Source organism: Homo sapiens, chromosome 11 (genome assembly GCF_000001405.40).
Source record: "Homo sapiens chromosome 11, GRCh38.p14 Primary Assembly".
Lineage (NCBI taxonomy): Eukaryota > Metazoa > Chordata > Mammalia > Primates > Hominidae > Homo > Homo sapiens.
In genome coordinates, this window is record NC_000011.10 from 2964621 (window position 1) to 2992593 (window position 27973).

The 27973-nt window shown below is 43.5% G+C and overlaps 1 protein-coding gene across 14 annotated transcripts in view, besides 4 other annotated features; it reads right to left on the reverse strand.

Annotated features, from left to right (window-relative positions):
• The window catches only part of NAP1L4 (nucleosome assembly protein 1 like 4), a 47893-nt gene extending 20184 nt beyond the window's left edge, over positions 1-27709 (reverse strand). For 2 of the 14 annotated variants that reach the window (NM_001369381.1, NM_001369376.1), the window contains exons 1-9: positions 27634-27709; positions 24509-24651; positions 14587-14617; positions 13664-13722; positions 11404-11503; positions 7482-7623; positions 6828-6914; positions 5183-5314; positions 60-131 (exon numbers count right to left, since the gene is read on the reverse strand). In NM_001369381.1, the coding sequence (NP_001356310.1) occupies positions 60-131; positions 5183-5314; positions 6828-6914; positions 7482-7623; positions 11404-11503; positions 13664-13722; positions 14587-14600 (606 nt within the window). In that variant the 5' untranslated portion in view covers positions 14601-14617; positions 24509-24651; positions 27634-27709. The other 12 variants (NM_001369380.1, NM_005969.4, NM_001369384.1 and 9 more) reach the window with 10 other exon arrangements.
• Positions 499-998: an enhancer, noted in NCBI's record as "H3K27ac hESC enhancer chr11:2986349-2986848 (GRCh37/hg19 assembly coordinates)". NCBI's record gives its function as "activates a minimal SCP1, AML or CMV promoter by ChIP-STARR-seq in naive H9 embryonic stem cells {active_cell/tissue: H9 hESC(naive)}" and the evidence as "EXISTENCE:reporter gene assay evidence [ECO:0000049][PMID:30033119]".
• Positions 1706-1906: a silencer, noted in NCBI's record as "peak1165 fragment used in MPRA reporter construct". NCBI's record gives its function as "represses an SCP1 promoter by STARR-seq MPRAs in K562 erythroleukemia cells {active_cell/tissue: K562}" and the evidence as "EXISTENCE:reporter gene assay evidence [ECO:0000049][PMID:32103011]".
• Positions 26278-27134: an enhancer, noted in NCBI's record as "H3K27ac hESC enhancer chr11:3012128-3012984 (GRCh37/hg19 assembly coordinates)". NCBI's record gives its function as "activates a minimal SCP1, AML or CMV promoter by ChIP-STARR-seq in naive H9 embryonic stem cells {active_cell/tissue: H9 hESC(naive)}" and the evidence as "EXISTENCE:reporter gene assay evidence [ECO:0000049][PMID:30033119]".
• Positions 27679-27973: an enhancer, noted in NCBI's record as "tiled region #13774; HepG2 Activating DNase unmatched - State 1:Tss, and K562 Activating DNase unmatched - State 1:Tss". NCBI's record gives its function as "activates a minimal TATA promoter and a strong SV40 promoter by Sharpr-MPRA in HepG2 and K562 cells {active_cell/tissue: HepG2 | K562}" and the evidence as "EXISTENCE:reporter gene assay evidence [ECO:0000049][PMID:27701403]".

Here is a 27973-nt window from a genome sequence, read left to right on the forward strand (position 1 = left end):
TTCCATCTTTGTGGACTGACCCTGTCTGATGCCAACCAGAAGGTCAAGTCAGTACTCACCATAGGCTGTCCAGGGTCAGAAAATTTCACTTTAATATCCTGCAGGTGTTTCAAGATTGGTTCATCATATTCCTAATCAAAAAGAGAAAAAAAATTCCAACAGGCTTTTAAAAAAACAACACATCTCTCCCGAAGAGTCATGGTTGCAGAGGCTCCCAGATGTTGCATAACTAGCCCTATTGGAATTCTGTCCTTGTCAAAGTAATAACTACCAGGAAGAAACCCAGACTTATTCACCAACTCCCTGTCATAGAGAAGCAGCACCAAGGTGTCCCCTTTCCCTAGTGTGGAGCAACGGTGGCTGCCACTGCCAGCAAAGGGCAGTGCCACTGACACCCGCCTGCCTGCAATACTGGGGCAAGGGCCTTCACTGCTTTCCTGCCACCAGCTGCCACTGCACACAGAGATCAGAAATGCTACCAACCAAGACTGTTGGTCCTCAGCCTCTCTGAGGAGAAAGAGCAGAAGCCTGGAAGTCAGAAGAGAAGGCTAGATCGGCTACGGCCTTGGCAGCCAGCTTCCCCACCTGTGGCAATAAAGTTGTGCATGGCTTAACAATGGGGGCACCTCCTGAGAAACACATTGTTAGGCAATTCGGCGTGTGTTCATCAGAGCATATTTACACAAACCTCGATAGTGCAGCCTACTATCCACTATTGCTCCTACGCTGCAAACCTGAACAGCATGGGACTGTACTGAATACTGGAAGCAGCTGGTGATGGTACTTATTTGTGTATCTAAACACAGAGAAGGTACAGTAAGAATATGGTATCATAATCTTACAGGACCGCCATCCTATATGCAGTCTGTTGTGACCAAAATGTGTTATGTGGCTCATGACTGTATCCAAAACTCACAATACACACAGTCACTTCTTTATTTTTTTTGAGACGGAGTCTGGCTCTGTTGCCCAGACTGGAGTGCAATGGTGTGATCTTGGTCACTGCAAGCTCCGCCTCCCGGATTCAGCCTCCCGAGCAGCTGGGACTACAGGCACCCGCCAACCATGCCCGGCTAATTTTTTGTATTTTTAGTAGAGACGGGGTTTCACCGTGTTAGCCAGGATGGTCTCGATCTCCTGACCTTGTGATCCACCCACCTCGGCCTCCCAAAGTGCTGGGATTACAGGCGTGAGCCACCGCGCCCGGCCACACACGGTTACTTCTTTAAGAACACTTACACAGAGCGTGTCTGAGATCCAACTTGCGGGCACCATGGAAGAGTGGGCATCATGGAAGAGCGTACAATTCTTATCTGTGTCTGTATCATTTTACAAGTGATATTTCTTTAAACTCATTTTGCCAATACCTGTCAGCTTAGAAAGTCCCAGTGAGGAAAGTCAGAAGAGGAGTGGGAAGACCTGAATCCTCAGAAACACGCACTGGCAGCAGGCACTTCATTTGTAACATGGCAGTCACTTCTTTACCCCCAAAGTCTGGGCACTGAATCTCAAAATGTCTTGAAGTTGCATTAAGTTTTTCTTAAATCATTTTTTCTCTTTTTTAGTTGTATGTAATAATTGTACTATTTATGGGACACAGTGACATTTTGATGCACGTACACAATGTGTAATAAATCAGGACCATCACCTCAAACATTTATTTTTGAACATTCAAAACCCGTCCTCTAGCTTTCTGAAAACACGCACTAAATTATCGTTAGCCACATTCACCCTACAGTGCTACAACACACCAGAACTTACTCCTCCAATCTAGCAGTCACTCTGTATCTGATAACAGACCTCTCCCTATTTATCCTCCCCTCTCTCTCCCTCTTAGCCTTTATCAACAATTCTCTGCTTCGGTGAGCTGTTTTTGTAGCTCCCACATGAGTGTGAACGTGAGGTATTTCCCCCCTTTCTGTGCCTGATTTTCCGTTGAGTCCTAATTTTCAACTCTTCTGACATAAAACAAAACAAAAACAGCAACAAAAAGATACCTGCAAGTATCTAGACAAAAAGTAACCCAAAGGCAGTTGTGAAATGGGCCACACCTGCATGCGATGTTCAGTCTCCAATGCTGCGCGTGCCACCCACAGAAGCATGCGCTGGCTCTAGATCACCAAGATGAGCACTTCCACCAGCATGCTTTCCAGAGATGGCACTGGGACTTCAAACTCATCCCACTCAAAGACGCAGTGCCCACTCATGTTTTCCCAAACTTCATAAAATAACCATTATGTTCTAATTTCCTCAAGCAGCCATGTACCCTGTGGGTCAAAACTTTAAATGTCCAGGGCAAATATTAAGGTAATGCCCCACACTGGCAGACGCTCAGACTCAGGAAGCAAAGGCACAACACTGGAGGCATCGCACTCAGATCGTAAAGCCACCATCTCAAATTTTCCACTCTCCTTGCAGAAATATATTTCAACTATCCCCAAATTTAGAACAAAGGGACTCAGAGTTAATCCGCCTTTGGAATTTAATATTTGACCAAAATGAGCTGGGCATAGTGGCGCATATCTACAGTCCCAGCTACTCGAGAGGACCCCTTGAGGCCAGGAGACTGAGACAGCAGTGTCCTGACTGTGCCTATGAAAAGCCACTGACCTCTAGGCTGGGCATCATAGCAAGACCATGTCCCTTAAAAATGAAAGGGCTTCTCTCAGAAATGGCAGACTTCAAAACCAGACATTAAAAAACAACTGTTGGCCGGGCACGGTGGCTCACGCCTGTAATCCCAGCACTTTGGGAGGCCAAGGCAGGCGGATGATGAGGTCAGCAGATCGAGACCATCCTGGCTAACACAGTGAAACCCCGTCTCTACTAAAAATAAAAAAATTAGCCAGGCGTGGTGGCGGATGCCTGTAGTCCCAGCTACTCGGGAGGCTGAGGCAGGAGAATGGCGTGAACCCAGGAGGTGGAGCTTACAGTGAGCCAAGATCACGCCACTGCACTCCAGCCTGGGCGACAGAGCGAGACTCCGTTAAAAAAAAAAAAAAAAGAAAATATTGTTAAAAAAAAAAATCAAAATAGAATATGCTACCATTACCTGCTATGAGGTTACAAACAGTACAAATAACATTTCCTCATTCTCTGCATATTAAATGAGTACTCTATCAACCCCTGCATATCTTTTTAAAGCTGTTAAAACAAAAAGCAACAAAAGACACTTCATGGCTGAAATGCTGAAGCACTGACACTACTACAGAGGTGCTGGGAGAATGAGAAGGGACACCCCATTTAAAATGTGGCCAAATGCCTCACTGTGCTCTCAAAACCCAAGGCAGCACTATCCATGGCCAGTGACCCCAATGCCATAACCAGGTGGCCACACGCACAGAAGGGGACACCAAAACTCACTCAAGTCACCTAACTCTAGCTCCCAAACCCTGTTATCACTGCACCCCCAATCCCACGTGAAGATGCTCCAACCCTGCAGTGCAAGAATCACCCCAGGGCCCATGAGCCAGACAGCCCCACAGAACCAGAATCCGCACTGCCATGGCCACTCCCCATGCCCCCCGAAGTCTGAGAAGAACGAACTAAGAGCTAGTCTTTCCACCTGCTCCCTGCCATGGAGATTTTCAACTCTCAGGGTGCACATTAGAGTTCCTAAAACCAACTCAAAACTCTCAGTGCCATGGTGACAGATGAGGCATTTAGTTTTTGCTATTTAGTTTTCAAAGCTGCTCAGGTGATTGTAATACACAGGGTGAGACTACGGCTCTGGTAGACATTACTTAATTTTTCCAATGAAATTCTGGTGCATGGCATTCTTTTAAAAGTATGGTCTAGTCTTCTTAAATTCCACCTTTTCATATGAAAAGGAAGCTCAGATCAGGAAAAACCAAGGCTGTTCTATTTTAGATGCTTTCTGGTCTGGAAGGAGAATAAGAAATACATCATTCTTTCCATCTTTTCTCAAGTTTTGGCTTAGGACACAGGACAAGCATTAAACAAGGGAGGTAGCAGAGGCAGCAATGTGATACATTTGTGAAAACCATTAAAAACCGTAGCTGTAAAATCCTGTGCAAATTACAATGTAGCAGTTTGCAACGCACAGTGCCTATGCTCTGTGATGGGAGAAGCACTCTGCCCACACAAGCAGAGCCTGCAGCTGTCCTGAGCAAGTCTGAATGCAGACGTGCTGTTTCTGGGGACGCTGGAGCAATAAAAACTGACGGCAAGTCAGTCAGTGAGACTTAAGGCAAGATTTGTTTCTCTGTTCTAGAAACTTCTATTATAACTCATTTCAGGGAAAACCAAATTTGTTACCTTTTAATTTGTTCACCATTTCACTACAGAAAGTGAAATGTCAAGGCAAGACAAAATCAGAAATGGTGGTTGGGTTTTGTTGTTGTGTTGTTTTTTTTTTTTTTTTTTTTTGGAGACAGGGTCTCGTCACCCACCAGGATGGAGTGCAGCACCGTGATCACAGCTCACCACAGCCTCAACCTCCTCGGCTCAGGTGATCCTCCTGCCTCAGCCTCCCAAGTACCTGGGACCACAGGCGCACACCACAACGCCCAGCTAACTTTTCTATTTTTTGTAGAGATGGGATTTCGCGATGCTGCCCAGGCTGGTCTCAAACGATCTGCCTACCTTGACCTCCCAAAGTGCTGGGACTACAGACATGAGCCACCATGCCTGGCCTCTTTTTTTAAAAAAAATAGACACTTTTTCAAGAGAAATGATCAGAAAATATTAGCAACTTGTTCAAAAATTCACTGAGATGTGTGTGTACACACACACACACAAACAAACACACAGCTCATCCCTTCAAAATTCATTCTGCTCTGGTCTCCTGCCCTCACCCTTTCCTGCACACTCACACCACAGGAAGACAGAGATGGGCTCTGGAATCTATTCATAGGCTTTCCCACAGGCAAGACAACAGAGCTTTACAAGAGGTAAAAGGAACTGATTTGAAAGTTTTGGATCAGGCTGAAGCGCCCAGCTTTCCACCAAGAACTGCAAAAGACAGCATGGAAGCCCCACTGTGAATAAACCATTCACTGTGAGATCAGGACTGCTCATCTGAGGTCCTGGTCAGAGAAAGTGCCCTTCCGCCCACTATGAACAATCTTTCAATGCCCAGTGTAGTGCTTAAAAAATGCCATAGATAAGTAATGTTAGAAGACTAGCACATAATCTCTCTACAAGACAGAAGTGTGCTTACCTGGACTAATTCACTCAGCATGTCCACATTTCTGAAGATGGTAAACCAGAACTCTGGAATTCCTTTGGGATCTGGCTCTTCAGCCGTTGCCGCTGCTTTTTCTGTGACGACTACTTTACTTTTCATGTCTCCCTAAAAAAAAGATGCAACATAGGTAACGAAAATAAAAGTTTACAAACAATGCAGCGGCTTCACGTAGAATATCGTTGCCGAATCCTCTACTATCTCCCATCAAACACCTTGCTTTCTAAGTCTGCACCTCCAAACCACTCACTGGGCCACGCGACACTTTTCAGATGCTTCTGAGGAAAAAGCATTCAAGTCATTACATCCACACGGAATTCCGTACCATTTCACATCAAAGGCGAAGAAACTAAAGAGATGACAAAGTGCCACCGACGCTGGGAAAGGCCATCCAGTGCTAGCTCTGTGAGGTGCCATCCTGAGACAATCATCATCACAAATGCAGATGCAAAGACTGTACATCAACCTTAAGGAGATGCAATGCAAATATGCAGAACATCTAGCACTGGGCAAAAAAAGTCCAGTGCAAGGATAAAGAAGTTCACTTGGACTAATAATCTGACCTCTTGTTAAAATTTGTGGGGTGCTAAGTTGAAATAAAAAAAAAAAAAATTGCCGCAGCAGTATCTGCAGCAAGAAAGTGCTCAGCAACTTATCCAGCTTGTAAGGAAGTGGCTATAAATGCCAGCTCAGACACCACGCAAGCATCAGAAAGTGACCAGAAAGGCCACATGGCAAAAGGAAGGGGAGTCAGGCCCCAGGGAAAAGGTAGACCAAGGGAGGTGAAACGCAACACCAGATGCAACTATGGGAAATTCTGAATGCCTTGCCAAACGGGATTGTTATGATGAAATGATCTTGAAATGAAAGGCCTTTTAAATCAGCAAAGGCAGATTTCCCTTGAGCTGTTAGAAACTGATTCACAACTGTATTAATCCACAGCCATGGCTTCAATTAGGCCAGGTTCTATATATTTTTAAAGCATCAAAAACACATATGGCTACCAAAATCATCATATACCACCCCCCCCCCAAAAAAAAAACTGCAAAAAGTTAGTTATAGGATAAAAGTTACTTGTCTCCCAAACATAAAATCAGGCTGACAAAGTTAATCCATGGTACACTGGGAGTTTTCACAGCACTGGAATGGGACCAGTCACTAGAAAAAGGCTGTGAGCAGGTGACTGATGGCCACACCACAACCACCATCTGCAACCAATCCACTGGCGGAGCACCTCTCAGGGGGCAAGCTAGTCCATGCCACTGAGCAGGAAGGCACTCCCCTCACAACTCCCCCAATCTTCCAGTGACTGAGAACACAGGGGCATCTCTTCTTCATCTTTGCTTTCTCTGATGTTTTAATCTTTGTTGGTCTGATCCCTTATTTCAATATGCTCCTGTCCACAGATAACTGAGGTGGCACTACATCTTACTCCTATTAACTGACAGTACTGTGTCAGATGCTAGATCCATATCAGAAAGGAATCTAAACCCAACCTAATGATGCAGCAGCACCTACTGTTAGAAGCACATAAGTTTACTAGTCATTAAAAATCATTAAAAAATGCTTATTTTTAACAGTATTAAAACAGAACATGAGTCACATGTTTCTAAAGACTTACAGCCAATTTCTCTTCCTCTTCATTTTCACTGTGCCATTCCGATTCCGCATCTGTTGGTTCAACATCGCCGGTGATAAATTCTCTTCTCTACATAAAAATGAGACCTTATTAGAATTATGTTATTAGCTTACTTAGGAACTCAAGAGTTAAATTTATAAATAATGTCTACTAAAAGACTTTGAAAACTGGATATTTTTATAACTTATTTTAAGATTCTAAATTTTAGGGTTCAAAGAAAAATATTAAATGATTCCCTGGGTAAACCTGGATGTTTCACCTAAAGATGTAAAATAAAGACAGTCCCCGATTTCCAATGGTTCAGCTAAAGATTTTCAACTTCCTGATGGTGCAGAAGCCATCACACTTTGGGCACCAATACAGCCACACTGTGTTCCTCTCTCTGTGTAGGGTTCAATACATTACGCGAGATACTCAGCACTTTATTATAAAATAGGCTTTGTGGAAGATGATTTTGCCTGACTGCAGGCTAATGTTAGCGTTCTGAGCTTGTTTAAGGTAGTCTAGACTAAGCTATGTTTGGCAGGTTAGATGCGTTCTTACCCTAGATGTTGTCAACTTATAATGGGTTTATCGGAACCTAACACCTTCGTAAGCTGAAAACTATCTGTATATTAAATTAACAGAGCTCCCTACCTTGTCAAAGAGAGGCTGGTATAGCGCTGCATACTTTCTTTCCAAGTCATGTACCTCTTCATAGAACTTGGCTTCTATGTGAGCACATCTCACCTGAAGTTGTTTCAATGCATTAATTCTTCTTTTTACTGCTTTAGGTAAACTAAAAAAGGGAGTAAGAAATACAACATCCTCATGCCTGCAAAATAAAGCAGCATGCTTTTCAATTTTATTAAAATAAATTTAGGTTAACATGGAATCAACATCCTTACTATGAACAAGACCTCTTAAAAATTAAGAAAAGGACAATACCCCAACAGGAAAAAAAGGATACAGGAGGAAGCAGAAAAAATAATTCACAAAAGAAAAAACACAAATTGTCAAACATGAAGAAAGATTCAATTTCATAAAATATCCAAAAGAATGCAAACATTTAAGAACACTCAGCTTTTCCTTACCAAATTGGCAATTAAAAACCAAAACAAAACACCCAGGTTTTACGAGGCTAAGGGCCAAGAAGCCCTCTAACTGACTCATCTTTCTGAAGGGCAGAAATATTGAAAATGTTCTTTGGACCCAGTAATTCTATTTCTAAGAATTTATCCTTAAGGCTGGGCGCAGTGGCTCATGCCTGTAATCCCACCACTCTGGGAGGCCAAGGTAGGATTGCTTGAGGGCAGGACTCCAAGACCAGCCTGAGCAATACAGCAAGACCTCTCTCTACAAAAAAATTTTAAAAAATTAGCAAGGCATGATGGTGTGCGCCTGTAGTCCCAGCTACTCAGGAGGCTGAGGTGGGAGGATCACTTGAGTCTGTGAGGTCAAGGCAGCAGGGAGCTATGATTGCGCTACTGCACTCCAGCCTGGGAAACAGAGCAAGACCCTATCTTACCAAAAGGAAAAAAAAAAATTTATCCTAATCAAGTATTTATGCTGGAGTGTCCGTCGATAGATCTGTACAAGTGAAAAACTGGACAATGCAAGTGCAACAGCATTCAAATATGGCCTATTCATAATCACACTGTCCAGGAATATTTAGTGCCACGTGGGAATCCACACTTGTTAACACACTGGAGGAAAAAATCTGAGAAACACAGACCACAGGCAACACAACTTTGTCCTGGAGAGTCAGGTCAACTATGAGTTTGCCTTTCAATTCTGTTCTATGTTTTAAAAAATAGTTGTTATGTATAACTTTTATAAATCAGAAGAAAAATCCTTGTTTAACCCATCAAAACTATTTGTTCAAAACGAAGCCCCTGGTCACAATCATGTGGACTGAACAGCAGATTCCTGGCCTCATCATAGACCCAAATAATCTACCTGGGGCAGGGCCCTGGGTCCTGCATCTTGAATACTCATTCACACAATCAGAGTCTTCAAGTCTAAGCACTTGACTTACCCTCCAACAACAGACAGCACAGAGCAGTAGGCAAGTCACACACACATATCACTGGTCTGGGAGGTATTAGAACAACTGCCTTGCATCCCAAAGGACCACTCTCCTGGGTGAAATACAACCACAGCTACCTCAAGCTAAAGGTCCTTAGTTTAAGCAAAGACTCTCAAATAATGCTTAACATTCTAGAACTACTGCTAGTAGTAGATGAAAAAAAGGGAAAAGCAGAAAGAATTTAACAAAATGGTAGACTCCCACTGCCATTTTTACCCCTTTTCTGCACTGGTCATTCATTCATTCATTTATTGTGACAGGATCTCACTCTGTTGCCCAGGCTGCAGTGCACTGGTGCGATCTCGGCTCACTGTAGCCTCAACTTTCTGGGCTCAAATGATACTCCCACCTCAGCATCCTGAATAGTTGGACTACAGGGGCACATCACCATGCCCAGCTAATTTTTTTGCATCCTGTAGAGTAGGGGTTTGACCATGTTGCCCAGGCTGGTCTCGAACTCCTGAGCTCAAGCAATCTGCCTGCCTCGGCCTCCCAAAGTGCTAGGATTACAGGTGTGAGCTACCATGCCTGGCTAATTATACAATTTTAAATTAGTTTAATTTTTGAAGCTTTCCAACTGAAGTAAAATGACAAAGGATTTTTTTTTTTAATTATACTTTAAGTTTTAGGGTACAAATGCACAACGTGCAGGTTTGTTACATACGTATGCATGTGCCATGTTGGTGTGCTGCACCCATTAACTCGTCATTTAGACAAAGGATGTTAAACAAACTGGACCCTAGTGTGCCCCCAACAGTCCTTCAATCATTCACACCAACTACACCCAGCCCTCTGCCGGCACTTTTCCTGCAATATGGCTAATATGGAACCACTTCTAGTCCCACATAAACCTGATCCCACTCAAGCAGTTCCTCTCACAGAATGCCACCCCACCAACCCAGTTTCTAAAGCGAGAAAACTAGAAACCATTACTCATTCTCATTCTTGCCACTCCCACTCAGTATCACCCCATCCCATCAATCTAGTCTGCAAAAAAAATAACATCAAAACACCTTGCCCACTAAGTAATCTCTGAGAAGCTTCTAAATGGGCAAAGCAAACTCTGAATGTCACCTTCTAGGCCAGGCGCAGTGGCTCATGCCTATAATCCCAGCACTTTGGGAGGCCAAGGTGGGCAGATCACCTGAGGTCAGGAGCTGGAGATCAGCCTGGCCAACATGGCAAATCCCTGTCTCTACTAAAAATACAAAAACAAAACAAAACAAAACAAACAAAAAAACACGTGCAGCAAATCACCATGGCACATGTATACCTATGTAACAAACCTGAACACTCAGCACATCTACTCCAGAACGTACAGTGAAATAAATAAAACTACAAAAAACTAGCTGGGAGTGGTGGCGTGCACCTGCAATTCCAGCTACTCAGGAGGCTGAGGCAGGAGAATCACTTGAACCCGGGAGGCGGAAGTTGCACTCCAGCCTGGATGACAGAGCAAGAGTCTGTCTCAAAAAATAAAAATAAAAAATAAATGTCCCCTTCTTGTCGTAATAGCCCTGGCAGTCCTGACTGGGGAAACCAGCTGGAAGGTGGGGCCTCCTGGGAGACCAAGCCCTGACCCAATTATAGATGGAAGCCCAGTAACAGCTCATCCCTTTAAAAAAAAAAAAAAAAATTGCCATGCATGGTGGTGCATGCCTATAGTTCCAACTACTCTGGAGGCTGAGGTAGAAGGATTACTTGAGCTCAGGAGTTCAAGGTTACAATGAACTATTACATGCCACTGCACTCCAGCCTGAACAACAGTGAGACTCCAACTCAAAAACCAAAAATTCCTTCCAGAAGTAAGAGAGGTCCTGACAAGAGCCATCCTAGGATTCTAGGATCACCACCCTTATCATTTTCATAGTGCAATACATCTAGCACATAGGCCTCTCTTAAGAAAGCAAAGGTGTCAGCCAGGCACGGTAGCTCACCCGTTATCCCAGCATTTTGAGAGGCTGAGGCGGGAGAACCAATTGAGGCCATGAGTTCAAAACCAGCCTAGGAAATACAGTGAGACCCCATCTTTTTTTTTTTCTTAAAGACAGTCTCACTGTCACCCAGGCTGGAGGGTAGTGAAAACTCATAGGCATGCGGCACTATGCCCAGTTTTTTTTTTTTAAGGTGTTGGTGTCACAGGCTCATGTGGGTAAGTCAGGAAGGAGTGGTTCTCTTAGTTTAACTTAGGAGCCACCAGCTGTCCTCTCCAACTCAGATGATCTGTGAAGTCCTCTAGCCCTCCACAGGATGGCACTGTGCACTTCCTATCAGAACTGACAGGTCACGCTACTCCATCCACCAGGCAAACTCTCAGCCTAGGCACCGGGTAGGGTCACTCCTCTCATATCCCAGTGCCTGTCTCTCATAGACAATGTCTTGGAACGAAAAAAACATTTAATCCTGTTCTGGGGAACTGAAAAGTGGTTTTTCCTTTATTTTCCTTTTGTTTCTCCAAATTGCATGAGACCCTATTCACAGCACACTTACGTTTCGATGTAGCTGGAAGGGGTGTGAGGGACATTGTCAAGTCGCTCCTGTAAAGCTGCCAGAACTCGAGGATTCTGCATCACCTGATCTGTGAGCTTTTCTATGAAGAGTTAAGACCAAACATATTTAAAATATGCCCACCACACACAATAGCCAAGAGTCAAAAATTAGTAACATATCTACTTAGCTTTGCCTAGATTTACATCTACTAATTTCTAAATACATACACCAGTGACTTCTTAAACATGTTTTGAAAATAATTAAAATTTATTTTAAGAGCATTTAACACTCTGGGTTAATCACCTGATGGGTAGTTACAAATTTACTGAATAAACACCTAGAGAGTCCTGGCTCTCACCAGGACTGTGGCTGTTTAAGCACCAGACTTAAACAACTGAGGACATCATTAATGTAAGTTCACATGGTCTACCCCCAAGTCCCATGGTGGTGTCCAGAAGCCACGAACAGAGATGAGATCAGTTCCTCAAAGTAAAAGAGCATCCACTAGCTCCCTTGCTCACTGTGGTGCCATAGACTTCACAGTCCAGGAGAGCCCAAGGCTCACTAGCTCTCTGCCAGCACTGTTCCCTAAGTTTTCTTTGCATGTGCTACTCGCCTCTGCCTTGAATGTCCTTCTGCCCAAACCCACCTCCCTCCAGGAAGCACTTCTGACCATTCCACCCCACTTAGGGCTAACCTACATGTGTAGTGAGCTCACAATACCAAGCTGTTTGTATTTATAAGCCCATTTCCCAATAAACCAATGAATGAGATCCTGACAAGGTAGTGACTGTCCTTTTACCCAGTTGTGACTATGAAGTGGCAGACATCTGGCTCATGACACAGACTCTTAACAATCTCCCTCTTAATGACACAATACAGAAATCCAAACCCAGCGCCCTTCCCTTGCTTAGAGCCAGTACATACCCGAGTATTCTCCCATCCCGAGTATTCTCCCATCCCGAGTATTCTCCCATGATGTGGGTAAGTCAAACACACCAAGCAGGCACTCAATTTTAAACATTCATAATAGAACTGCAAACACAACCACTAACATGAAGCACATGAAGTGTATTTAAGGTACGTAATTTGTATATATAAAACTGTGTACACATGTGTAGTATATAAATACTACATGCATATACAAACACATATGAATGGGTGCTAAAACCTCCGTGTGAAAGTTTGCTGAAGAGGAAGAGGATATCTACACGTGCCTGACAGATTGCTTCCAAGGTGAAAGGACCTTGGTAACAGAGAAGTCTGGCAGGCACTGTCTTAATCATCAATCTCAGTGTCCTTGGGCAGGTGCCGAGCCAACACCCTGTGCCTCCGGAACCAACGACCACTGCATCATGTTACCTGTGTGCCCTTCTTGCCAAAATGTTTACCCTGAATCTCATCAGGAAGAAACGACTGGGCAAATCCAGACTGTGAGCATTCTATAAGACAACAGTGGCCCAGAGCGCTGATATGTTGATGTATTAATAAAAGATGCAAAAGGTAGGGAGATGACTCTAGAACAAAACAAAACGCATGATCCTTGAATAGGTGCTAGATTCGGGCGTGGGGTAAAAATTGCTGAGAAAACCAGGGAAACAGGAGCATGACTGTCTATTAGAGAATGGTATTGCTCCAGTGTTAAGTTTCTTGGTAATGACATTGTAGAATTGTTTTAGGAAAATAGATATCCACCACTTGCTTTCAAACAGTTTGGAGGGAGTGGGGAGTACAGATATAGTTTTTTTTAATGGTGGAAAAATATCACATCTGTGAATTTATGAACAAAATGACATTCTTAGGATTTGCTTTCCAAAGGAAGGAAAGTAAAGGGTATAGACTTAAAAAAAAAAAAAAAAAATGGCCAGGAGCAGTGGTCTGTGCCTGTAGCCCCAACTACCTGGGAGGCTGCGGCAGGAAACTGCTTGAGCCCAGGAGTCCAAGACCAGCCTGGGTAACACAGCAAGGCTCCATCTCAAAAATAAGAAAAAAGACTGGTCATTTGTTAATCAATACTAAAGCTCACTGATGGTAGCTACAAGAAGGTAGACTGTACTATTACTCTCTTTACTACTGTAGAGTCTGAATTCCTATAATAAATACATCTTTTGTTAATGAGATACTGATTTTTCATTTTAATTACTCTAGCTTTCCTAAAACCACTGCAGTACAGGAATCCTTTACTTGCATTAATAAATGTTTCCAGAGAGAGGAACGTTCCCCATACTGGATGCAAACTCTCCATGTGCAGTGGACTGACCTGTGTTACTTGCATTTTTAGCAGCTTCCACGGAATCTGAAGGAACCCCATCTGAAAAACTAAAACAACAGTATGTTTAAAAAGTATTACTGTAAAGAAAGTTCCAAAGACATAGCACAAATGGACATGTTTCTTATTCAATATATTAAGAGGTATCTGTACAGTGACGTCAGATTTGGGCAGAAGAAAACTACCAATGTGCATGTTATCTCAGAGGCTGTCCTCTCTGCTATAAAAATATTCTACTACGTAACATCCCCTCTCCTCTCCCAAACATAAAGCCCTACAAAGTTCTTATTTCCAACCTTAGCCAAAGCTTCTTAGCTCTCATTTCTACAGCTTCTTTCCTCAAAAAATCTGCTCCCAGCCCTCAAACCAAACCCATCAACCAACGAACATGTTACTGTTTGGTCAGCTGCTCATGTGATCAGAGCAAGGCAGTCTTACCAAGTTAAGACAGTGCCCAAAGTGGCTTTGTAAAATTAGCCACAACAAGTGTAAAATGAGCCATGAAACAGTTTTTAAAGATGCCTGGACACACCTCCCTCACAAAAAATAAACATCAAATAATATACACAACTAAAAGTAACCCTCAATCCACAAAACAAAATCTTCCACTTGATCACTGACAACTACAGACTGTTAGGAGAGTGTCAAAATTACCTAACTTCACCCCAGGGGTGTTAAAGCATGGAGAGCAAAACGATTGCTTTCCATAAAAGATCTGTAGTGTCAATGTCTGAGGCACTGTTCATGTCGGAAGTAATTTCTTTACGTGCTCAAATACATACACAAGAAATGAGCCATCAGCTAGACGCTGAAATGCATTTAACTTTGATTCTAATTATTTATTGAAAAATGGCTTGGCTGTTGCTCACCAACTGAATTTTAAACTCCAATAAACAAAGTCCACTTTGGCTTACCTGTGATCTGCCATCTGAATGTTTTTATCCCCTATAAATTAAAAAGAGTTGTAATAATTATATTCATAAGCAAAAATGTTTGTTCAATATACTTTTTAAACAACGGTTATCTGTGGGATGGAGTCCACTAGAAGGGACAGGAGGGAACTTTCTAGAGTGATGAAAATGTTCTAGATCTTGACTGAGGTTACCTGAGTATATACACTTGTTAAAGCTTATTAAACTATACACTTCAGATCTGTGCATTTCATCACACACAAACTTTACTCATAAAAAAATTTCTCGGCCTGGCGCGGTGGTTCACGCCTGTAATCCAAGCACTTTGGGAGGCCGAGGTGGGTGGGTCACTTGAGCTCAGGAGTTCGAGACCGGCCTGACCAACATGGTGAAACCCCATCTCTACTAAAAATACAAAATTAGCTGAGCGTGGTGGTGCACGCCTGTAATCCCCGCTACTCAGGAGGCTGAGGCAGAAGAATCACTTGAACCCAGGAGGCGGAGGTTGCAGCGAGCGGAGATCATGCCACTGCACTCCAGCCTGGGCAACAAGAGTGAAACTCCATCTAAAAAAAAAAATAAAATAAAATAAAATTATCTTATTGGCACTAAAATAACCAGACTTCAGAATAACATTAATTCTAATTTGCCTTATTTTTTATAATACATTCGGCAACACAAACATACATTAATGATAGCCCAACCATTTTAGAGTAAGTCAAAGCATTTACTGGTGTTTACACTTTCAAATTAACTTATGGGATTATTTTCTAATTGCATTTGTTTATTCCGTATCTTCCATTACTTCTACACTGAGGATGTATTGCTTGTGTAAAAACCTTGTGTAATATACTCAGTATTATTCCACTTTTAAAGATGATTATTTCTATATTGGTAGAATTAGATGACATTGTAACTGAATATTAAGGGTGTGTTCTAGGGCATTTACTTCTTAAATAGAAGAACTTGATATTAATAAAACTAAAAAAAAGTTATCATTTTTTTTGAGACAGGATCTCAGTCACCAAGGCTGCAGTGTAGTGATGCAATCCTGGCTCACTGCAGCCTCAACTTACTGGGCTCAAGCAATCCTCCCATCTCAGCCTCCTGAGTAGCTGGGACAACAGGCGCAGGCCACCATGCCCAGCTAATTTTATTTTTTGTAGAGATAGGGTCTGGCTAAGTTGCCCAGGCTGAGTCCCAAACTCCTGGCCTCAAGAGATCCTCCCACCTCAGCCTACCAAAGTGTTGGGATTACAGGTGTGAGTCAACACGCCTGGCCTATACAATTTCAAAATCTAATCTAAATGCATTTAAAGTAACAGCTAAATGCACAGCTTAAAAAGGTCCTTAAATGTAAAATAATACAGGTGTGGTTACGAAGTTCCTTAAACTCAGATGTGGGAAATACACCTGAGGGCCTCGCTAAACGGTTGTTCCAGCTGAAAACTGGCCAATGTTCATTCTTCAGTACCTGAGCAAAGCCCAAACCACTGAATCACATAGCTTTAGGGTAAAACCAACAACAAAAAAACCCCTCTATATTTAACAAAAACAGTTCTAATTATGATCTATGACTGTCCTGTATTTAACTCAACTACTTTTTTAAAATTTTTATTGTTTAGAAATAAAACGTGCTATTTTTAAGATTCAAAATACAACAAATATTACACATTGTCTTTTTCAAAAAAAATAAATTATGTTTTAATGAAGAAGATGAAAACCAAAAAGAAAAAAAAAATGCAGCAGGCACAGTGGTTCATGCCTATAATCCCAGCACTTTGGGAGGCCAAAGTGGGCAGATTAGTTGAAGCTCAGGAGTTTCAGACCAGCCTGGGCAACATGGGGAAACCTCGTCTCTACAAAAACAAACAAACAAACAAAATTAGCCAGGCGTGCTGGTGTGAACCTGTAGTCCCAGCTACTCAGGAGGCTGAGGCAGGAGAATCGCTCGAGCACAGGAGGCAGAGGTTGCAGTAAGCTGAAATAACACCACTGCACTCCCGCCTGGAAGACACAGTCAGACTGTCTCAAAACAAAAAGAAAAAAAAAAAAATGAGGCTGGACACAGCGGCTGATACCTCTGGTCGCAGCTACTTGAGAGGCTGAGACAGAAGCAACACTCGAGCCCAGGAGTTGGAGGCCTGGCGGCTGCAGTGACCTATGACTGCGCCACTGAACTCCAGCCTGGACAACAGAGCAAGTACCCTGTCTCAAAAAAAAAAAAAAAAAAAAAAAAAAAGGCAATAAACCCTACAATGGCTGGCTATGCTCACCACCATGACCACAGCAGCAACCCAAACCCAGCCCTAGTCAGTGAAGATTTAAAAACCCTTTAACGGAGGCCAGGTGTGGTAGCTCACACCTGTAATCCCAGCACTTTCGGAGGCTGAGGTGGGCGGATCACCTGAAGTGGGGAGTTCGAGACCAGCCTGACCAACATGGAGAAACCCGTCTCTACTAAAAATACAAAATTAGCCGGGCATGGTGGCACACGCCTGTAATCCCAGCTACTCGGGAGGCTGAGGCAGGAGAATCGCTTGAATACAGGAGGCAGAGGTTGCCGTGAGCCAAGATCAAGCCACTGCACTCCAGCCTGGGCAACAAGAGCAAAACTCCGTCTCAAAAACAAACAAAACACCCTTCAATGGTCCCCCGTCACCTTCTGCAGAATACACATTCCTACTGATTCAGGCCCTGTCTACCTCCCCACACTCATTCCCACTCACGCTCCTCCACCATGTTTGCTGCAATCACAGTATTCCTGAGGTTAGTTCCCTTCTCACATATTCTAAATGCAAGGTGTGAGACAGTCAGACTTCATAACAATTGTTTAAGGACAACATTCTAAGAGCTAAAACACCACTTACCAGCTGTTAAAGAATGAGGTGTTTTTTTCTGTTATATACCTTTGATAATGTCTCTATGAACATCTTGGCTTATATGGCTTCCCACTCCCAGTTATCCTTAATTGATATGGCAATAGCAGGACCGCTACAGTAGCATTTCTGGGTCAAAGAGCATGAATGGATTCTGATACATACTGCCAAAACAGTTACACAATAACATCAACTGTAATTTGGCTACTTAATTGAAGCTCTCTATTGCCTAAGAAATGTATCTCATAGCACCTTCCTTACCCCACACATACACACTAATTGCTGAAAGAAGCCTACTAACCTGGAAACATCTAACACTGTCAGTTTAATGGACAGATTCTTGTTGTCATCACCCTATCAGTAACACCTCGTAAAGACACATACTTCATTTCCAGCACCTCCTATACTAGCAAGGGACCTACATGTCAGGCACTTCATACATTTAATACCAAGAGAAACTCCACTAGGGAGGGACTATCCTCAGTTTACACGAAAAGAAGCTGAGGCTTGGAAAGGTGAGGTGCCAAATTGAAAGTCACACGGCTAGTAAAACATGCATTCGTGTTTCAAATCTGACTCCTTCTAACCTTTCCCTAGTACCAACACCACTTCACTTCTGGCTGTTTCTACTTGCTCATTAAAGATTCTGTTGCTGCTAGGCTGGGCCTGGGGGCTAACACCTGTAATCCCAGCACTTTGGGAGGCCAAGGCGGGCAGATCACGACGTGAGGAGTTCAAGACCAGCCTGGCCAACATGGTAAAACCCCGTCTCTACTAAAAATACAAAAATTAGCTGGGCATGGTGGCACTCGCCTGTAATCCCAGCAACTGGGAGGCTGAAGCAGGAGAACTGCTTGAACCCAGGAGGCGGAGTTTGCAGTGAGCAAAGATTGCACCACTGCACTCCAGCCTGGGCAACACAGCAAGACTCCATCTCAAAAAAAAACAAAAAACAAAAAACCTGTTGCTGCTATTGGAACAAGTGACAAGCAACAGCTTAGTCAGGGTTGAAATCCTACTGTTCAGCAGCATCTCCAAGAAATCCATTTTGTCTACAAATGGAGTGTGACAATACTCCCTTTTGATGCTGTTCACTATGCAGCCCCAGAGCCCCTAACAGTTCCTGGCATAATAAATATCTGTTGAAAGCATAAACCACCTGTGTTAGGACATGAGCCAAAGAGGTTCACCTTCCCATGGAATGGTACCTGTTCCAACTTAACAGAGTCCATTGATAAAATGATTCACTCAATTTTCATTTAAGTGAAGGCTGTGCTTTTTTAAAGAGACACACAGTCTCACTCTGTTACCCAGGCTAGAGTGCAGTGGCAGGATCATAGCTCACTGCAGTCTCAAACTCCTAGCCTCAAGTGATCCTCCCACCTTAGCCTCTCAAAGTGCTGGGATTATAGGACAGAGGCACCATGCCCAGCCCGGCATGTGCTGTTTAATACAATTTTTGTTAACAAGATGACAAGGCAGTTAAGTTAAACCCAACACGGTATTCTGGAAAAAAAAAAAAGTGCTAAATCAAGGATAGAAAAAAAATAATGAATTTACACAATAAAAAAGAAAATAATTTTGACTAAAGAACCAACCAACCCAGAACTCAATGCCTAGAACAAGACAGACACACACTGAACAGCCTGGTTTCAAATCCTACCCCTATCACAGATCACCTGAAGCTCAGGAGTTTCAGACCAGCCTGGGCAACATGGGGAAACCTCGTCTCTACAAAAACAACAAAAAAAACAAAATTAGCCAGGCATGGTGGTGTGAACCTGTAGTCCCAATTCAGGAGGCTGAGGCAGGAGAATCGCTTGAGCACAGGAGGCAGAGGTTGCAGTAAGCTGAAATAACACCACTGCACTCCCGCCTGGGAGACAGAGTGAGACTGTCTCAAAACAAAAAGAAAAAAAAAAAAAATGAGGCTGGACACAGTGGTTGATGCCTCTGGTCCCAGCTACTTGAGTGGCTGAGACAGAAGCAACACTCAAGCCCAGGAGTTGGAGGCCTGGCGGCTGCAGTGAGCTATCACTGCGCCACTGAACTCCAGCCTGGACAACAGAGCAAGACCCTGCCTCAAAAAAAAAAAAAAAAAAAAAAAGGCAACAAACCCTACAATGGCTGGCTATGCTCACCACCACGACCACAGCAGCAACCCAAACCCAGCCCTAGTCAGTGAAGATTTAAAAACCCTTTAACAAAGGCCAGGTGTGGTGGCTCCCACCTGTAATCCCAGTACTTTGGGAGGCCGAGGCGAGCGGATCATCTGAGGTCAGGAGTTCGAGACCAGCCTGACCAACACGGAGAAACCCGTCTCTACTAAGAATACAAAATTAGCCGGGCATGGTGGCGCATGCCTGTAATCTCAGCTACTCAGGAGGCTGAGGCAGGAGAATCTCTTGAACCCAGGAGGCGGAAGTTGCAGTGAGCCGAGATCTCGCCATTGCACTCCAGCCTGGGCAACAAGAGCGAAACTCTGTCTCAAAAAACAAACAAACAAAAAACTAACAAACACACTTCAATGGTCCCCCGTCACCTTCTGCAGAATACACATTCCTACCAATTCAGGCCCTGTCTACTTCCCCATACTCATTCCCACTCATGCTCTTCTGCATAACCTTCCTCTGGACCTCAGTTTCATCATCCACAAACTAGAAGACAGTGGCTACCTGAGAAACTGTTAATGGAGACAAATTTCCTAGTACATAACAGCAGGCCAGGTCTCTTTTCACTTTTGTAACTGCCATGCATATAGACTACATCTATTCCTTGATATGAAACCAACAAATCAAGTTACTTTAAACACTGCACCCTTTATACAGGTTGAGTATCTCTTATCTGAAATGCTTGGGACCAGAAGTGTTTCAGATTTTAGAATATTTGTATAAACATGATCAGGTATCTTGGGGATGGGACCCAAATCTAAACATGAAATTCATTCACGTTTCCCACACATCTTATTCACATAGACTGAAGGTAATTTTATACAATATTTTAAATAATTTTGTGCATGAAACAAAGTTTTAACTGTGATCCATCACGTGAAGTCAGGTGTGAAATTTTCCACTTGTAACATTAATGTCAACACTAACGGAGTTTCAGAATTTGGAGCATTTGGATTTTTGATTTTGGGATCAGGAGTGCTCAACCTGAATAAGGAAAGACAATGTAGAGAGGTGGTATTATAAACAAGCTAGAGTTCAGTCAAGTTTCAGCACCACAAATTATTTTTGTTTATCAATCCCTATCACCCTTAAAACAGAAAGTTATAAGGAACTATCAAATATACAGGTTTGAGGAAAATAAATATCTGTTTGTTTTAAATGTTATGTTCAGTTTAATACTAGTCTTATAAAACCACAGCCCGAAGACTCATCCAGAAGGTTCTCTCACTTTTAAAAGGCAATCAAGGGATCTATACAACCTGGTGACTATAGTTAACAACAATGTATCACATAATTGAAAAATTGCTGAGAGTAGATGTTAAGTGTTCTTGTCAGAATCAGTATACCACCTAATGTGAATTAACTTGACTTAGCCATTCCACAATGTATAGTACTTCAAAACATCGCATTATACATCATAAATATAATTTTGTGTTAATAAATAATAACTAAAAATAAATAAAAGACAATCAAGTTAAATTATGAAAGGGATACCAGGCAAAAGAATGTTGTAAGTTTTCTAAAGTTCAGGTTCCCTCCCAAGGTCAAAAACTTTAACTGTGTCTACAATTCTAAATCTGAACTGGCAAGCAAATTTTCACCCAGTTAATTGGGTCGAGGAAAAATAAAATAAAATAATTCCCATGATTACACAAATGTTCTTTTATTTATATTAGTCACTGTAACAATCCTATTTATGGATTAATTTCTTTGTACCCCAAACAACTGTTTTCTTATGAAATTTTTAAAGATTTTTGTAACAAAATATAACCTTAAATTCCTAATTTTGAACTGAAAACATCTACTCCATAGCTAGAGTAACTATAAAATTGGGCCATGGCCAGGCACGGTGGCTCACGCCTGTAATCCCAGCACTTTGGGAGACCAAGGCGGGCGGATCACATGAGGTCGGGAGTTCGAGGTCAGCCTGGCCAACGTGGTGAAATTCCATCTCCATTAAAAATACAAAAATCAGCTGGGCATGGTGGCACACGCCTGAGGTCCCAGCTACTCAGGAGGCTGAGGCAGGAGAACTGCTTGAACCTGGGGGGCGGAGGTTGTAGTGAGCCAAGATTGCCCCACTAGACTCCAGTCTGGGCGACAGAGCCAGACCCTGTCTCAAAAAAAAAAAAAAGAAAAAGAAAGGAAAAAAAAATTGGGCCACGTTTGAGAGACAAAGCTAGAGAGTGTAGTCGTACTCCCCAAAACTTTTATATATTTACTCTGTCTTAATAAACTCAAAGGTCCTCAATGTCTTTATGGGAGATAACTGAAGGATTAAAATTAATTCAAATGTAATTAATGTTTTCACAAGACTCCTTATAATTTCCTTACAAATCCTATATATCCTACAAAATTAGGGATGGTAGTAAATTTTTTTTTTTTTTTTTGAGATAGAGTTTCGCACTTGTTGCCCAGGCTGGCGTGCAGTGGCGCGATCTCGGCTCACTGCAACCTCCACCTCCCAGTTTCTCCTGCCTCAGCCTCCCAAGTAGCTGGAGTTACAGGTGCCCACCACCATGCCCAGCTAATTTTTTTTTTTTTTTGTATTTTTAGTAGAGACAGGGTTTCACCATGTTGGCCAGACTTGGTCTCGAACTCCCAACCTCAGGTGATCCACCTGCCTCAACCTCCCAAAGTGCTGGGATTACAGGTATGAGCCACCGCACTCTAAGATAAATTTCTAAAGCACAATTGCTTGGCCCACATTCAGTCTGAGGAATGGCAATCCAACATTCTCAATCCAAGAGAGTCTGACCAGCCATTGGGCACAAGTTCAAATCCTCCAGGAGTACTGGATGTTTTAGATTAGGACATCAGAAAGGACAAAGAAATGATCTGTTCTCAGAAGGAATCAAGATACCCCTGTAGGACACCCCAACATCCCCACCCACAAAAGCTGGTGATTATACGAAGCCCTGAGACAGTCCAGATTTCATTTCTATTGCCCAGGCCAGTAGACTCCTGATCCAGTCTATCATTACCACTCTCCAGGATCAGAAGTTAATCATGTTGTTAAACTTTCCATGATAATGTTCTGGGTTTTTTGTTGTTGTTGTTGTTTTTTGAGGTGGAGTCTCGCTCTGTCACCCAAGGCGGGAGAGGGTCTCAAACTCCTGACCCTCAGGTGATCTGCCCACCTCAGCTTCCCCCAAAGTGCTGTGATTACAGGCGTGAGCCACCATGCCAGGCCCATGATAATGTTTAAAAGCAATGAATAGGCTGGGCACGGTGGCTCACGCCTGTAATCCCAGCACTTTGAGAGGCCCAGGTGGGCAGACCACCTGAGGTCAGGAGTTCGAGACCAGCCTGACCAATATGGTGAAACCCGTCTCTACTAAAAAGATACAAAAATTACCCAGGCGTGGTGGTGAGCACCTGTAATCCCAGCTACTTGGGAGGCTGAGACAGGAGAATTGCTTGAACCTGGGAGGCAGAGGCTGCAGTGAGCCGAGATCGCGCCACTGCACTCCAGCCTGGGCATCAGAGCGAGACTCCACCTCAAAAAAAAAAAAAAAAAAAAAGCAATGAATAATACATGTTTGCCCACTAAAGAACAAGTTCCACGAGGGCAGGGACCCTGTCTACTTGCTCAATACAGAAGTCCCAAGGCCCAGCAACAGACTCGGGATGAGACTGGTTGCCAAGAAATCTTTGCTTAACTCACTGCTACCAAATGACAACTTGTCTCTGTGTTACCAGTACCCAGCACGCATGGTGCCCGGGACTGCATGCACACATCTCAAGCAGTTTCTGAAGACACAGAGGAGAAACACTGCCTTAGTCATTCATGTTTGGTTACAAGATCTACTGAAATACCTGCCTCCAAACAGCAGCAGACTGTCTCTTCAGAGACTTCTGCGGTGCCAAGCCCTGGGGTTTCAAGAAGAAAGCAAAAAATGATTTCCTTTCCTTAACCAAAACACTACATTTTACTTGGGGCGCAGCAGTCTTTACTGCTGCACTCCCATCTCCTCCACCCTTCTTTTCTGGGCAGTTCATTAGCATACGACTCAATGAGGCTAACTTCTTAATCCAGTACATATTAAAAGATCTTGTCATCTTGTCAATAAGGCACTTCCCTCTCTACCTATTTCATATTGCAACCACCAAAGTCCCTACTCCTCTGCACTGTTTTTCAAAAGCACCTGCCACCATTGAACTTGTTCGTCTGTCTCCCATAGCAGAAACAAGGACAAAGACTTCTGTTTTATTCTGCGGGAGGCCCCAGTACCTAGAACTGTGCCCAGTACATAGAAGATGCTCATGAATAAGTAAACAGATGCAAATCACTGAAAGCTACTTTTCGGTAACTGAGTAAACAAGTACTATTTTAATTATTATACTTAAAACCTTTGCACATAAAAGTGCACAGTCATTCTTTCTACCACAAATTAAACAGAAATTATCTCATCTTGTTTTTGAACAGGCTTTTCCAGATAATGCACAGCGCATTTTTAAAAGTCCCAAGGACATGAAATGAACATACATTTCGTTTTTAACAGTTAACAGGGGATACTTGTAAGAAACTTAAGGTTACACAGGAAGTGGTCAAAATCAAAAAGTAAAGATCACAAAGTGATCTTTCGTTGTTTTCATACTATAAAAACACAATGCCTCTGTTACTAAATGCAAAATGTAAAGCTCTGGCAAACAAAGTAAAGCAACCCTGTTCTCTCTTAAGAGGGCAGGGTGGAAAACCAATGACTGCCAGATGAAAACTAATTTATATCACCACAAACTATTTCTTAAAAATTTCATTAGCAGCCAAATACAAAATTATTTACTATCTACCTACTGATAAGGGTTTTCCATTACTATATGCTCAAAGACAAACCTTACAACTATAGTTTCGGGAGGCATAAATTTGCTTACCTCAGGAGGTCCCACAAAAATTCAGCTGAGGCCAGGTAACAGCAGTTTCCTGCAGAGATCAGCTACTTCCTATCACCATAGTGGTCGAAGAATCAAACGAAGTAATATCAGATTTCTACTCTGGAAGCCTAAAACACTTTTCCCTTTAAGCAAAAAAGCAAGCATTCCTTAGCTAGCAATCTCAGGCCAAACTCCCAACAAGCTCATCTCTGCTGTCTTATTCAAATATAAACCATCATGGTTTCAAGCAGTAACAGCACTCGCCTATTTCACACAGCTGACGCCTCTTAGGCCGTCAGGAATTTAAATCACCTTCTTGCCCACAAAGTATTTTTCTTCCAAAACAAACTGAAAAATATAGGCTCTTTGGCAACATTTTTGGAAGTACAACATAAACTTATCACAATAATTTTTAAACTGCAGACAACTAAAGGGAAGGAAGAAAAGCACTACTATATATACATACATATTTGAGGTCACCTCCTCCTGATGCTAGAGACTATCAACTGCTCAAAAGAAGGAAAACAAAATAAAGATTTCAGTCCCCACACTTAGCTGCGAATAGCTAACAAAGGGAATTAACATGCGGTCAATAACAAGAGGCTACTAAAAACTCTGACAGGTTAGGAAGTTTTCATTTCAGTTTCAAATTCAAATTCATACTGTAAAGTGGTGATGAACACATCCCATCCGCAGGTACTTAACCTCCATACAAATAAGAACTACCTCTCATATGGGCAAAAAGATCAAAATTCTACAGAAGAATCTGATGGCTAAATGGCTAATTTGCAAAACACAATGCCCTGTACATTTTGAGGACATCCTAAAACATGTGTAAACTTTTCAGAATTCAGTTTACCAAAGTTATCAAACTTAAAAATGATTAAAATTTATTTGCTACTGCAAAGAATTCAACCAATTTCTCCAATGACTACTCCATATTCATTTTGAAAAACAGTACCGGATTTAAAGCTTACACAACAAAATTCACAAAAGTGTTATATGTGCCTATATGACATATAGGCACAAATAACTGCAGACATTCTGAAGCTAACACTGCTCAACCAGGAAAAAAAAAAGACTGCAATTGGATATGTAATAACAGCTATTTAAGACGGCAGTAACGTGTTAAAATGGTTCATAAAAATCACATCATAAGGCCCTGAAATTCTAGTAAAAATATCTCTAAGTAAACTTGTGAACTACTACTAAATAACTAATTTTCTCTCTCTCTGTAGTCACTCATTTTATCTTTGGATTACTTTCCCATTCTATCACCACGTTGCTTTCTCTGAACTTCATTTTACATTTGCATATTATTTATTCCATTAGCAATTGCTCATCCCAGTCTGAATCTCAAAATTCTACTATAGGAGGCATTTGGCATTCTGTGGAATAAGAGAATTTTGAGATGGAAATGATCAACCAGCTCAAAACCTCGTAAGCTAGAGTTCAGTTAAGCTTAGCACAATGATGAAAACAATTTCTCATTAAAACTTCTTTCATTCCCTCTACAGAAGCAGTAACCCTGGGTACAGTTAAAACTGCCTGGGTCTTTAAGCTTTGTCACCTCGGACAAGTCATTATACCTAACCTCCCAGGGCCTCAGCTTCCAGAGTAGTTAAATGGAAAAACAATAGCATCTATCTCAGGTTATTAGATTATGAAATGAGTTAACACACGCAAACAGGCTGAAAGAGTCCCTGGTGCGCAGTGCAGGTATTAGTCATTTAGAGGTATAGTTACTATTACAGGAAGGTAGTAACTTAGAAAGACTTACCTTTAAGGTCCAACAACCTAATCTACATATTTGTATATTTCTAAGGTAAGAGAATTTTTAAAAGTCTATTTTCACCCCGTAAACCTAATGCAGGAGGATAAGGCACGGGTTACTACAGGAAAAAGTAATGCAGACTGGGGGATGCGAACCAAAGCACAGACGAATGTGCCCCGACGATTCCTCCGAGAACATAATGAAATGGCGGACCTTCCTGCCAGAGGAGCGCACAGTCACCCAGGCAGGTGATGTGACACACACGTTAGGGTCTAAAGGTCCCAAGGCTGGAGTCCCCTTTACTGGACCCTAAACATGTCTGCCTCCTGCCCCGCAATCAGACTTAGAGAACTGTGGACGGTGGAAAGTCTTATCATGACCAGGCCATCCTTCGCTGGGGTGAACGGAAAGCATTCAGAAGGGGAAAATTGAAAACAACAAAGACTCTGGTCAGGTCAAAAAATACAAATGTGACCTCTTCCACCATCTCTGAACTGAAAGAAAAGCATGGCACTTTCCCATCCATAACATGTACAATTTTTTTTTTTGGAGATTTTGCTTTTCCCTTGTGAAAGACGGTTTTAAATAGTAAACAGACTTGCTGCCCACCTTGGCTGGGAAACCAAGTCCCGTGAGTAACTAGTCTAAGGCCACTCAGGCCAGTCCTCGGGGAGCGCACGCCGCCCAGCTCGCTCCCACCGCACAGCTCCCAACAGCTAAGAAGCAACGCCAAGGACTTTCTTCCCCGTCAGACATGCCCTCGGCCACACCAAACTGACATCAAAACCCCAGTTAGCCCAGCCTGACCCCACAGAGGCTCACGATGACAACCGCCCTACGGAAAAACTCAAATTCCTAAACATCTAATAAAGAAGTCCTGGACGTCTCCACCTTAAAAACGGGAAGCCTGAACGCTCCGGCGCGCCCGGCCGTGTAACCGCCACAGCCCCCGCACGCGGGGCGGGCTGGGCTAGCGGGAGATTTGAGCGGCCGCCGCCTCTCGCCGTCTTCGCCTCCTCCAAGGGGCCGCCGCCCAGGAGGCCGCCCGCGGCGCAGAACAAAGCGCCTTGACCTTCAGTGAGGCGGGCAGCCGGGCGAGGCGCGCCGGGAGTTGGGAGGGGCCTCCCGCCAGCGCCCCAGGCCCGGGCTCCAGGCCCCAAGCCCCAGGCCCCGCCGCGGCCGCCGCTGCCTGCCCCGACCAGAACGCGGCCCCGCCCCTGCCCCACCGCCCCGAGGCTTCCAGAGATGGCCGCCGCCGCGCCCGCGCCGGACCCGCGGCCCCACCCGCCCGTCCGGGCCCGGCCGCCCTCCCCAGCGCGCCGTTACCGGCCCAGCACCCGTGTCTCCGCACCTCACGCCTCCTGCGGCAGTGGCGGCGACCCTAGCTTCGCTCGCTTTGGGGCTGCGCCGCCGTGGCCTCCAACAACGCCGGCTCCCATTGGCCGAGGCTCCTAGCTCCTCTCTCCGCGAGCAAGACAGGCTGCGATTCGCCGAGCGCGGCGCAAGTCAACTGCGCTTCGCGCCGCAGTCAGCAACCAATCACAAGCCTCCGAAGAAACGCCGCGCCATATGCAAATATTCCTCCGCGCGGCGCGCGCCCTGCGTTCCTCCGCCTCTTTAAATGGGGCGGGGCAAGGTGGAGACCGCGTGTGTGGTTCCGGGGGGTCCCGGGTCCCCGCTCCCGGGACCTT